This window comes from Homo sapiens, chromosome 2 (assembly GCF_000001405.40).
Source record: "Homo sapiens chromosome 2, GRCh38.p14 Primary Assembly".
In the NCBI taxonomy this organism is placed as follows: Eukaryota; Metazoa; Chordata; class Mammalia; order Primates; family Hominidae; genus Homo; species Homo sapiens.
In genome coordinates, this window is record NC_000002.12 from 120,935,706 (window position 1) to 120,949,245 (window position 13,540).

Genomic DNA, 13,540 nt, shown 5'->3' on the forward strand with positions numbered 1-13,540 from the left:
TTGACCCCCCACCCCTTGCTAAAATCTTCCCCAGCTCTGAGAGCTTCAGATTCCAAAGCCAAGAATGCACTCGCTGGGCTGCGTGGGACAGACAGCTCATTTATAATGGAATCTGGCCTGTAAAAGTTTAACGAGGAGCGTGTGTGATAAGACGGGCTGGTCTTTGATCTTTACTGAACGCCAAAGCCCTCGCACAAGAGGAGCTGCTGGCTCTGGGTTTTGGAGAGAGCCGTGGTGGTCAGCCGAGAGCAGGAGGGGCCAGGGAGTGGAGCAAATCTTGATGTGCAGGCCGAGGTGGGCGTGCAGTGGGGGAGGGGCTGCGGCAGGATCGGGATGAACTATTCGGTTCCTCTCCTGTCCCTCGGGGTCCCCACTGTCGGACATTTCCCCTCCACACCCCCAGTATGTAGACAGAACAGGGTTGAGGCCGGGGCTCACATCTTGCCTATGCTGCTTATACTCTTCACATCCTTGGGCTTGCTTAGCCCCACAAGCCTCAGTGGCCCCATCTCTAAAATGGGGACATAGTGGCTCCCCATGTGAAACTGTTGTGAGGACTAGATGGGTGTCTGTAAAGCATGTAGAAGCACACCTGGGACATACCGAGTGGCGGAGAGACCCCTGCTCTCATCACTGCCCTGCTAACATTAGAAGGAAAGCCAAGTTTCACTGCAGACACCCTGCAGGGTGCTGGGCCAGTGGTGTCCTATTCAGTCCTCCCAACACCCTGTAAGGTGGGGGATTTTCTCCTCAATTCATAGAGGCGAGAACTGGGCGTTCCCAGAATTTAAGAACTTCCCAAGATTGCCCAGCTTGTGAGATCTCACCAAGCCAGAGCTCTTCCCTATGCCGTGATTGTCCTCAGAGAGGAAAGAGAGTCTCGCCATGGTTCTCAGGGCTGCAGTGTGTTGTTTCTGTCTGCAGACATGGAAACAGAACAGTAATCAACCCAAAGGAATTAATCACTAACAGTAAAGTTTCAGGCATTGGTGGGGTGGATTGGCCTTTGAGGTGGGGAGTCCTCTTAGACTGCACATGTTCAGACTGTCCACTCGGTGGAAGCTGACGCCACTGCCAGATGCATTCATTTATTCAGCCAAACTCATTGTTGCTGGATTTATTGTATCCCAAGTGCTGTCACTTGAGGCCACTCCTGCCAGCCCGAGTCAAGGTGTTGCTGAGGGAAAATGTGAGCAGTGCCCTGCCCCTGAGGCACTGCTTAAAAAGGTCAGAAATTGCTGCTGCCCTCAAGCCTCTGTCACTGCAGCCAGCACTGATGGTATGTCTGGTGCCCGTCAAAAAGTACGCTGGACATGTCAGGAGCCCCATCCCTCCATCCCCTCCTTCCAAGGACTGCACCTCTGAAATGTACACTTGGCCTGTGCTGCCCAAACAAAGTAGCAAGAGTTCAGAGTTGCTTAACTCAGTGGGGAATGTTCTTAATGCTCGTTCCTCTGAGGACACTCACCCAGGGACCATGTGTGCCAGCCTCATGCCAGGCACTGGGGATACGGGCCCAAGGAGGCACAGTCTTTTTTAATAGAATTTTTATTTGTATAAATTTATGGGGTGCAAGTCCAATTTTGTGACATGCATAGATTTTGTAGCAGTGAAGTCAGGACTTTTAGAGTATCTATCACCTGAATAGTGTGCATTGCACCCACTAATTTCTCAAACTACATGCCCCTTCTACCTCCAGGAGGCACAGTCTTGCTGCCCACATAGACCCCATGATCTGGTTGGGGAGAGGGCAGAAATTGGCCAATGACAGGGTGGTATGCTGGAAGAGGGGGTATGGGAAGCCCAGAGCACCAGGAATACAGGAACAGAAAGCGCTTATCAGCGGGGACGCATGAAGGCCTCCCCCCACGTCCCAGCCTTTCCCCAACCCCACCCACTGGGGGCCCTACCACCTTCTTCAGGTTGCCCTGTTCCAATGAGGGGCCTCCACTTCCAGGCAGACACCAGTGCCACTAAGGAGGGGAATCTTTTCAAAGCACATACTCATGAAGGCTTGGTAAAAATCAGCAGCACACCCACCTCGAAGAAGAGATATATGTGAGCTGCTCAGGATTCTCCAGCTAGTTTTGACAGGCATCCAGGAAAGGAAATTCCACACACCACTTTGGCAGGCTGGGCCAGAGTTTAAGAATCTCACTGTGGAGGAGTTTCTATCCAGCCCGCCGGCCACCCAGGCCCTTTCTCATCACTAAAACCCAGGCCTCCAGTGAAATATAATGAAATCTCTCCCACTAACGAAGGCCGCTCCCCACAAACCCCACTCCCAAGACTGCACATCTTATCTCCTATTTCCTTATTCCCGCCCATGGCTTTAAACCCTTGACTTTCTGGAAGATTTGGTTCAGCAGTGCTCAGCCCATGGCAGCTTCTATTACAGACAAAGTCCCCCTGTACTCGGAGGTCAGTGGTGCAGTTCACCTGGAGAGGGCCTAAGCAGGACCGACTCCCCCAGGGCCTCCTCCCCGGACCCAGACACATTCCTGGTTCCACTGCACAGAAGGAGTAAACCCAAGGCTTCCAACAGGCCCCACACCTCACTCCTCCCCTCCCTACCCTGCTCCACCAATGTCTTCACTTTGCTAGGAAAAACGTCTCCCTGATAATCCCCTTATCTTTTATGCTTTTTGGGTTTTCTGTTTGCAAAAACTGATAACCTTCTTATTCTGCTCCCAGGGGAAAACTGATAAAGGGTGAGTGCATGAATCAACTGTTGTGGACCACGTGGCTAGATTGCAACCAAGTCCATCTGTATTGCCTCCTTTGTAGGCACAATTTTATAACTTAATTTCCCTACCAAAACATCAGTGTTTACTTAGTAAGAAATCTGCTCTTTGTCAACTGAAAACGGTGATTTCTTTATTACAGCTCTGCATAGGGAGTGACAGCTGAAAGCTGGCCAGGTCTGGTGTGGTGTCCGGGTCTTTGATGGGAACGGGGTGAGTGCAGGTCGCATATATGGGATGCGTGTTTGCTGCAGACGGGGCTAGGGCTGGCCTGGAGGGAGCCTGGACAACAGATAGATGTTGTGGCCAAGAGGGCCCATGGAGTGATCATGTAGACGACTGAGCCTCAGATGATTTCCAGCAGTCACACACATTCACCACCACCACCAGCCCTGAGTTCCCCACCAGCGCCAGCCCTGTAGCCGTCCTGCTCCCGGAATCCCTATCCACTCAGCCAACTTAAACCAGAGACTACTTCTACCCAGCCATCCTTTTAAAAAAAAAATTGGTCTTATTGATTATTGAAAACATGCAAAAGAACAACAAAAGTGGCCAGGTGTGGTGGCTTACGCCTATAATCCCAGCACTTTGGGAGGCCGAGGCAGGGGGATCACCTGAGGTCGGAAGTTCGAGACCAGCCTGGCCAACATGGCGAAACCCCGTCTCTACTAAAAATACAAAAATTAGCCAGGCGTGGTGGTGGGCACCTGTAATCCCAGCTACTGGGGAGGCTGAGGCAGAAGAATCACTTGAACCTAGGAGGCGGAAGTTGCAGTGAGCTGAGATGGCGCCATTGCACTCCAGCCTGGGCAAGAGCGAAACTCCATCTCAGAAAAAAAAAAAGAACAACAAAAGCATGTTTAAGATATCTGAGTAATTATGACATATACACCCTTATCCCCTGCTCACTCTAAGGACTGAGGACATGCCAGCACCTTTGAGGTCCCGTGTGCTCCCCAATCTCCTGCCTCAGGTCCTCCCCATCCCACCATTCTTTGGGATTCAGAGTTTATCACCCCTCACATCTTATGACGGTTTTACCTTGTGTCTGACTCCCCTAACAATGTATTAATTCGTTTTGCTTTGTCATGCTTTATATACATGGAATCATTGCAGAGGTATTCTTCGGGAACTTGCTTTCATACTCCACGTTCTTCCGAAGATTTTCCTGCTAATGTGTAGGGCTCTTCATTCATTTGGGCTGCTCCGAAGCAGTCTATGTTGACTGGCATTTGGGATGTGTCTGTTTTTGCTAATTTGAACATGACTGCAGAAACACTTTTATACCATCCTCTGGGCCCCAAGTGCGGGGTTATTTAAGGTAAATGCATGTCTGGGAATGGAAATGCTGAGTCACAGTGGATTCATGTTCTCACCCTCCTAGACATTGCCAGACTTCGCCCGCTGGTTTTGCTAACACTCACTCCCACCAGCAGAGTTTGAGAGCTGGCCTTGCCCTGTATCCTTGTGATATCCTTGCCCCATCACTTTGGAGGTGATGGCCTCTACATTTTAATTTTTGCCAAAATGGCTCTTTTCTGTGATTCTAATTTTCTGTTTCCCTTATTGCTAATGAACCTTGAGTGTTCTTTCACATGCTTATGGGCCACTAATGTTTCCTTCTTGGGAAATGTCTGTTGGGCTATTTTGCCCATTTTTCTATGAGGTCGTCTTTTTCCCATTATTTGAATAAGTATTTTGCACACTAAGGTTACTCATTATGTGGTTAGCAACATGTGTTGTGAATATCCTCTCCCAGTTCGTGCCTGGTCTCTTCACTGCCTTGATGGCAGGTTTGGGTGAAGAGAAGTTCCCATTGTAAAATAGCTCAGGTAGGTTACCGACATTTCTACTATGTTTTTCCCTGCATGTTCTCCTCCCACCCAGATGTCTGGTCAGACCTTCAGCCTCTGGACTATAGTGGTTGTTCCCCAATACAACATGTCCTTATTCAGCTATTCTCCCATCTCAGAACACCAGGCCTATACTACTCACCACCTCCATTCCATTCTCTTATAAGAGTCTGGGCACAGTTCAGATGCCACCTCCTGCAGGAAGCCCTCTCAGATTGCACCAACAGAGTGGGTGAATTATTTTCCTCCCACCCCTCTTCCTGCTCCAGCACCTTGTATACTGTTAGAAGGCTATAGTCAGTGTCCATTCTCTCTCTGTGACCCCAGAGGTCCTGGCATGGTGATTCGGCCAAAGCACCAGTGTGAACTATGGGATTGAGGGCCTGTGATTTCCTGAGCTCGTAACTGGTCTTGGGAATGCCTGCCAAGCAGCAGCACCCTGTCTTACCATCACCATGGCTTCATGGGCACTCAGGGGGTCTGCTGAGATCTGTGCACTTGTGGATTCAGAGTAGACCTTGGGAATGTGGGGCATAGCACTTGTCAGTCAGGTTTGCAGCCACCTGCCCCCTCACTACCTGGGTGCATGCGGGGCCCTGGCCGGGTCTGTCTCAGAACCCCAGCTCCCCACACCTGCTCCCTCACTACCTGGGTGCATGTGGGGCCCTGGCCAAGTCGGCCTCAGACCCCCAGCTCCCCACCATCAGTGCCATCAGAGGCCCATGCTCAGTAAACATCAGCTGATCCGGGGGAGTGACGTGTGGACGCAGACACAGATCAGCAATGAATGTCTGCAAACTGCGGCCTCAGCTCCCGTACACAGAGCCTCCCCATGAGGACAGACTGCCACCAGACACACAGGAGAGTGCAGATTGATAAAAGACATGGACTGCGCTTCAGTTTGAGGAAGGGACAGTTCTCCATTGTTTTCCAAAAGAATTTGCTGTATGGCTCTTAAAAAATGCAAATCCCCTTAGTACATTTTGGAAAGGACTTGATTTCTAGAACTTTTTAAAACAAATGTATGGGAAACATGGTAAGCAAGCTTGCCAGTGTACAGTTTCACCTACAAAACCAAACAACAAAACTCAAACCAACAAACGAAAACCCTGGGGAGGAGATTGAATTCCATCCAGAGGAGCGTTCTGGAGCTCTGTTTCTATTTGTCGGTAGAGCCGAGGGTGGCAGGAGCTGGCCTTGCTCTCCAGGGAGGCCCTGGGAGAGCAGACACATGCACGCCCTGTCCTGGCAGTAAGAAGTTCCAGTTTGGGGAGGAAGAGATGCAGGGCAAGCTTTGGGGACTCCAGCTTCCTTTCCAGCAGGTCAGTGGGCCCAGAGGACGCCTGCCCAGCATTTCTGAGGAAGTGGGCACCTGGTCCTGAGCAGCTCCGCAACAGCAAAAAGGTCCCAGTGTCTCCACTCTGGAGCTCCGTGGACCCACCCATGGCCCTGTGATCCTGGTGGGTGGTAGGCATCTTGGCCCAAAGGCAGGGCTGGTGTACACAAGCCAGCGGTTCCGAGGCAGGAGGAAATGGCATGCTGGGGCTGTGTGCTGGGTGGATTCTGGCTATGGGGAGTCAGTGACCATGAAATCCAGGCGGCAGGGGGGAAAGCCCGCTCCACAGCCCTGTGCACATGGGGATGGGAACGCAGGACTCAGACACCTTCCTCCACCCAGCACAGGAGTTCCCCTACCCTGCCAGCCTGCCTCAAAGGGAGCATCTACTGGAACCTGGTTATTCCGAGCAATAAATAGGAGCCCTGCTAAGAGTTTAGTCTCAGAAGAACGATGGCACTAGTGACGGTGATGTCTGCCACCTCCCTAGGGCCAACTCTAGGCCAATGCAACATGCTTTCCATGACGAGTTCATTTCCTGGGGCTGCTGTAACACGGTACCACGAACTCAGTGGCTTCAAACAATAGAAATATGTTCTCTCGGTTTCAGAGGTCAGAAGTCCAAAATCAGTATCACTGGAACAAGATCGAGGTGTCACCAGGGCTGTGCACCCTCAGAGACCCCCAGGGGAGACTCTGTCCTTGCCTTTCCCAGCTTCTGGTGCTGCCAACTTTCCTTGGCTCCTGGCCATTTCCCTGTAGTCTCTGTCTCCCTGTCGCATGGCCATCTCATCTTCTGTGTCTCAGATCTTACTCTGCTGTCTAAAGACCCCATGATGGCATGTAGGGCCCACTCAGGTAACCCATAATCTCCTCATCTCCAAATCCTTGTCTTAATCACATCTGTCAAATCCCTTTTCCCAGTAAGTTCTTGTTCACAGGTTCCGGGGATAGAACATGGACATATCTCTGGGAGATCTCATGAGCCCCCCACGTGCCTTCCCTCTGCTCCTCACAACAGATTTGTAAGATCACTGTCGTAACTGTTCAGAGACGGCACATACGTGCTCCCAGGCAGGAGTGAGCTGAGGTGAGCCGGGACCCATGTCTTCTGCAGTAGTGTCTGTGCTCTTCCCTGGACACGCTCCCTGCTTTATTCATTCATTCATTCACTCATTCGTTCACGCCCTCACTCATTCATTCATTCATTCGTTCACGCCCTCTTTCATTCATTCATTCATTCATTCATTCACTCATTCGTTCACACCCTCACTCACTCATTCATTCATTCGTTCACACCCTCACTCACTCATTCATTCATTCGTTCACGCCCTCACTCACTCATTCATTCATTCATTCATTCAGCACACACGTATTTGAGCATGCTGTATGTCCCTGGCATGTGCGGAGCCAGGTGCAGGGCCAGCGTATGAACAGAAACGGATACAGGAGACAGGAGGCCTGTGAGCTCACAGCTGAGGATATCTGGTCATCAGCTGAGATGGACGTGCTCAGGTCAGAGGAAGGAGCCACCTAACACAGAAGCACCGTAGGAGGATCCTGACCTTGACCTGGGGCTAGGGGGCACCTTGGGTGAGAGGTCCCTGAGCTGGCACCTCTGGGAGGAGAACAGGAGTTAACTGGGGGAAGGGATGAAGAGGGGAAGGGCATGACTGGAGGTGCAGACATCAAAGGGCAAAGCTGTGAGAGGCAAGCATGGCCAAGGACCAGAGAGTGGCATACAGGACACAGAGGGGAGAGGCAGGCCCTGGCCACATGGGATTGTGGCCCCTCGCCTGCTGCCACTGAGGTCATAAGTCACCCTGAGAAGCAGGCAGGTGGTGAGATTTGTAGGCTCATATCCCCAAGTGACTGGGCCTCCTTTTCTCTTCATCAGCAACAGCTGTTGGACCAGTCTGGGGGCATCCGGGTGCCTGTGTTCCCACCCGCTGCTGCCGCTGGCCTCACTGTGGCCATGCCCCTGGTGCTTTGGGACTCAGCAGTGCTGTCTGTTAAATGGGACATGAAGGAGCTGTTCCTGCCTGTGTCTGGCCCCAGCCACCAGCACAGATCTTGGAGCAAAGCCATCTCTGGCATGCCAAGGGTGGGCTTCTCCTCTGACTCCAACCCCCGAGTGGGACAGCCCGCCCTGATGGCTGGTGCTGAGTCTGGGTGAGTCAGCAGCCCTCAGCTCCACATTGTTCAGCTTCTCCAAGCAGGCACCGAGGCTGGGGTGTGGGGGCCCCAATCCCTGCACTTCCTTCCCTTTCTCTCACACCTTAAGGAACATGCCGGTTCTTGCCCCCACACCTTGGCTCAGGCGGTGCTCAGGCCAGATGCCCTCCTTTCTCCTCCCCAGCCCTCAAAGTCTTACTTGTTTCTCAGGCAGAAGCTACACACCGTCCAGGTACACATCCCCCATCATTCTCACTCCCAGGGACAGCACCCACTCCGAGGGTCTGGCATGCTCGCTTAGGCCCAGCCAGCTGCATGCTGAGTTACACATGGCTGTGCAGAGTGCTCATTACCTTGACCTTTTATCTCCCACCAAAAATCTCATGGCAGCAGATGGGGAAGGGTCCTGGGATTTGATGCCGAAAGGTGTGGCCTGGGTCTGCTGCACTCTCTGAGCTGCTTCCATTTGCTCATCTGCTAGATGAGCGGGGTGAGCACTAATTGAGCACCTACTAAGTGCCTGGTGCTACACTGCATGCTTTCCATGCTTGGCTCATCCTACCTCACAGCTGCCCCACCTGCAGGCAAGGGATCCTGAGGCTCAGGGCACATAGCACTGAGGCTGCAACAGCACCAAAGCCATGATTCAGACCTAGATCTGTGACTTCAGAGTCCAGATTCTGCTTATCAGTGGGGGTGGCCCCCTCAGTCTGCACTGCCCCAGAGTCACCTTGGGGATCAGCTGAAATTAGGCCTGCCAGGGGACCACCAAGCCAACCTTCTCGAGAACTGAGACAGCGAGGGTGGAGCCAGCACGAGCCTGCATCTGGGTGGACCATTAGACATGTCAGTGCCCAATCCAACTTCACAGGGGCAGAGAGGCTGGCCTTCTACTCCCACTCGGCCACCTCCAGCTCTGCAACCGTGGGCAAGTCACATGACTTCCTTGAGTCTCAGTTTCCTGGTCTGTAAAATGGAGATAATGAAATCTGCCTTGCAGGCTTGCTGGATGTATTGCACGTAGTAGGCGTTCTGCAAATGCTGACGACTTTGTCAGCAGCAGCAGCATCCCTGTGGCAGCAGCCACAGAGTTAACACAGCAGCCATGCAGTGACACCTCAGTTTACTTTATCCATTCTCCCTTTTCCCCTCTTCCTTACTTCCATTCTTTCTTACTTCCCCTAACCACCATGCTGACCCTTGGGCCTGGTCCTGAAATCCCATCCAAGGGCTTTGCCAGGGATCTCCCACTAGGGAGGGAGGGAAAGAGGGAAGAGGAAGGATCCTGCTAAGGAGAGGCCTTTCCTGGCACTGCCTGCAGCCTCCTGGGGCAAGGACCCAATCACAGTCAGCAGGCCAGAACCAACATCGGGAAGAAGCATAGGCGTCCTCCACTGCAGCGGAGTCAGCCGTGAGGCCGGGCTCCTGCTCCTTGTTGCTGCTGCCGCTGGTCGCTAACATGTGCACAGCACACACACACACAAACACACACACACGAGGAAAAGGGGCTTTGGTTGGTTGTCCTACTTACCCAGAGTCCCCTGCTTGTGCCTCATGCCCAGACACAGAAGGACATGCCCAGCTGCACCCTCCAGCCTCGGCCACTGTGGGCAGGATGTCCAGGGACCCTCTCCTGTTCTGCAGGTGGGTGGATGGACAGGCCCGAGCACTTATGGCTGGGGTCTGCCTTGCAGGGTGCCAGGCCCAGGATCATTCTGGGCAGTGGGAAGCTGTGTGGGTCAAGAAATGTCTTAGCTCACATAACTGAGAAGGCCAAGGATACTAGCTTTAGACAGAGGGACTCAAGTCAAGAAACTGGCTCATCCTCTCTCAGCTCTGATGTTCTCTGTATCATCTTCCTTCTTGGGCTCTCCCCTGCATGGCCTCCAGCAGCCCCACGCTTGCACCCTACGAGCTCAGCAACCCTTGCGGACAGAGAGAACCAAAGACTCTAGCCAAAGCTGCTGTGTTGGGCACATGCCTATCTTTGAACCGATCACAGTACTAGCAATATGGAATACATTGATCACCTGGGCTCAGGTCATGTGTCCCCTGCCCAGAGCAGCAGAAAGGAAGTGGGTTCAATATAGACCCAGCCCAAAGCACTCTGTGGGCTGTGCCCTGCCCCTCAGGCATAACCTTCTCACACACACACACACACACACACACACACACACAGCTTTGTGCTCCAGCCTTTCTTTGCACACACTGCTTCCTTTGTTGGTAATGCACTACCTCGTGAACTCCTATTCATCCCTCAAGACCCAGCCCTAATGTCACCTTCTCTGAGAAGCCTTCCTGCACACTTCCAGGCAGAGTTAGAGAATCACTCCTCTGCTGGAGCCCTTATCATACTGCCTGGTAATTACCTGATTTCATGGGTCTGCCTCTTTCCCCCTGGGCTCTGAGCTGCCTACAGGTCCCTAGGCACAGCCCTGTTGGGAGCGTGAAGAAATGTAAGAAGGAACAACTGGTCAGATCAGGCTCAGACGAGCTCTGAGCTGGACTGAGGGGAGAAGGCAATGCATAGGGGCAGTGTACTGAGCTGAGCGGCCTGCAGAAGGGCTGGCTGTGCCACTGGTTGATTGTGCCATGGGAGTGTGTGAGGGTGTGCACATGTGTATCTGTGATGTAGGAGACTGTGACCATCTTTTAAATTGAGCTCATGCAGCCAGCTCCTCCTCCCATCCTGAAGGGCGTCTCTTTGAGTCTCTGCCTAGCTGTCGGAATTCAAGGACTGGATGGCCGTGGCTCACACCAAGGCCGGGCCCCTGCAGTACAGCAGTGTGGAAATGGAAGAAGAAAGGGAGGTTGCTGCTGGGGTCAGCCTGAAGTGGTGGTTCAGACTTCACCAGTAGTCGCCTTTCCTGGTGAAGTCTCCATGGCTCAATCGTCTGCTCACTGGCGCTGGCAACACTGAGGTATCATGAGACCCTCAGCTGGGGCCTGGGATGGGGGCAAGTGTCCAAGAAAGAGGGGCACTGGACCCTGAAGGACCTGCTGTGTGGTTTGGCAATGCTGGCGTGTTTCAGGGCTGCTGGGAAGCGCCCTCAGGCCCCACATGCCTGTGTGATGCTGGCAGTTCTGCCAGCTCTGGCCCATTCCTCTGGCTGTGTTTAGTCTGTCAAAATGACCATCTCTGGGAACATGTGTGCCCCTGGATCCTTAGCGGTCATCACAACATAGTGGGGTTGGGGGGTTCCAGCTCCCTACCCAGAGTAGGGTGGGATTGTATGTGATGACCTGGTAGGGGTGGGGTGGGGACCAGAGACAGAGAAGAAGCTGAAACGGTGGGGAGAAAGCTCTCCTGCCCTCAGGTACTGCCCCCTCCCTTATCCTGTCCACACCCTGAGCCCTGCTTACCACCAACCAGTGTCATCAAGAACGCCCACTTCCCTGCCAGGGCACAGGCAGGGGCTCCAGCCCAGCCCCACCTGGGTTGGTTGTGGTTCTACCACCTGCTATCTGGGCACCCTTGGCCAAGGGACCTAGCCTATCTGGGGATGTTCCCATCCACAAGATGGGCATAAAGTGCCTGTGTTGTGAATGTTTTATTTGAATTCACAAAGAAAATATGTGCATGTGCCCCACCGATGGCTGGCACACAGTCAGCCCTACCCTGGGGAGATACCAGGTAAGAGCACGGCTGTGATCTCACTGGCCCTGTGCAAAAGAGACATCTCGGAAGGCTTCCTGGAGGAAGTGTCTAGACAGTCATTGATGGCTACGATGGCCAGTGGGCCTGTCTCTGGTATTGTGTGCCCTGGGTTTCCAGGCCAGCAGACACTCTATATTCCAAATTGGCTTGTTGCTGAGGAGAGAAGGAAAGGGAGTTAATGCATATAAACCCCCTACCAGGTGCCCGGCCCTGGTCATTTCACACCACCCTGGTGAGGCACCAGAGAGGAGCAGCATTCTGGCTGAGGCTACACAGCCAAGCGGGAAGGATTAGGAAGCCAGTGCCCTTGAAGGGACAGGCAGTGCCAGGTGCAGCATCCTGCCCCACCTTGCTGCATCCCGAGAGCATTTGTATCTGCCTCCGGGGGATGGCTCTGTGGCTCACATCCCCCTCTTCAGGCCCGGCACTGCAGCCTTCCCTGGCACAGGGGAAGAGCAAGGGTTGCTCCGTACCCTTGAGTTGGACCTGTTGTGGAGGCTGGCCTGTCTCTCCACTGCCCCTGATAGAATCTGTTCTGGGGTAGGATAGTGGCATCTTCCAGCTTTCTGTCTGGTCACACCAAGGGAACAGTCAGTCCTGGACAGCAGTGCTGTGATGGGGCGGGTAGTGCCTCGATGAGGGAGTCCCAGCCTGGGAGTGAGGCCCGCTGGAGGGAGCTCCTGCTTGCCTCTCACTGGCCGCACAGCATGGAGAATGACTCCCCTGTCTGGATGCAGTGTGCTCGTGGTCAAGTGCAGTGGTTGGTTCCATTTTTCCATACCCTCCTGAGGGGCACACAGCCGGTGCTTACTTCATGGGGGCTGCCATGAGGATATAGTCCAGGCATCCCTGCAGAGACCCCTGGATGTCCCTACAGAGCCCAGGGCCTGAGAGAGGAAAAGGCTGCCCTGGGCTACCCCTGGGCTCCTGACTCCCTTGGTGATGCTTGCGGTGGGAAGGGGGAGGTGGAGTCTACCTTCCCCAAATGGTGGCAACTGCACCGTGGAGGCGGAAGTCCCAGCTCCTCCATGTGTGACCCAGGCCCCACCTGCCATCTCCAGGCCCAGCTGCCTCCATGGCAGCCCCAGACAGTGGTGTGCATGTGGCTGTGACAACACCTCACTCCGGGCCTCTCAGGGGAGGCTCACCTGGCCAGTGGGACCTGGGTCACCTTGGACAGACTGGGCCTGCTGTGTGGCCTCACCATGTAGCTTGAAATCCCCACGTGATCAATGGCTATCGCAGGGGGCCTCAGCTGTGGTTGGCACACCCCACAGGGCAACCCTGGTGCCAGGGAGGCTGGCATTCCCGGGACCTGAACAAGCCACGTAGGGCCACCGGCATCTGATTACAGGCTACTGTGACCTCAAACCCTGGCCGGCATCCTGCAGGCTCTGGGAACCTGCCGTGCCTGGAGTGTCTGGGGAGGACCGAGAAGTCAGGACAGAAGGCACCTTAGCTATTCTCTCAGCCTGTAGACACCCTGCATTTTGCTGAGCCACACTCAGCCTTCCAGAACTTGTATCCTTCAGCCCAGGTCTGCCCCCAGGAGCCATAGAGGCGTGATGTTGTCTCAGAGCCTTCTCTTCACAACCCACCCATCCCGTGGCAGGATGTGAGTGTCATCCTGCTGCAGTCACAGGCTGGAGCCCACAGGACCTGCCCTTGTCCAGGGGTGCATTAGTCTGGTCCCACTTCTCCTCTCCCGGGCACACATAGCAGCCCCCGCCTAGGCTAAAGCTATCTGTTAAGCCCTCCGCATTTCATGCAGTTC

General features: G+C 53.8%; 1 protein-coding gene across 8 annotated transcripts in view, besides 2 other annotated features; it reads left to right on the top strand.

The window, feature by feature from the left end:
* GLI2 (GLI family zinc finger 2) overlaps positions 1 to 13,540 on the top strand; it is a 256,786-nt gene that overhangs the window by 199,838 nt on the left and 43,408 nt on the right. The gene's annotated exons all lie outside the window — the stretch shown is intronic.
* Positions 7,447 to 8,035: an enhancer, noted in NCBI's record as "H3K4me1 hESC enhancer chr2:121700728-121701316 (GRCh37/hg19 assembly coordinates)". NCBI's record gives its function as "activates a minimal SCP1, AML or CMV promoter by ChIP-STARR-seq in naive H9 embryonic stem cells {active_cell/tissue: H9 hESC(naive)}" and the evidence as "EXISTENCE:reporter gene assay evidence [ECO:0000049][PMID:30033119]".
* Positions 8,036 to 8,622: an enhancer, noted in NCBI's record as "H3K4me1 hESC enhancer chr2:121701317-121701903 (GRCh37/hg19 assembly coordinates)". NCBI's record gives its function as "activates a minimal SCP1, AML or CMV promoter by ChIP-STARR-seq in naive H9 embryonic stem cells {active_cell/tissue: H9 hESC(naive)}" and the evidence as "EXISTENCE:reporter gene assay evidence [ECO:0000049][PMID:30033119]".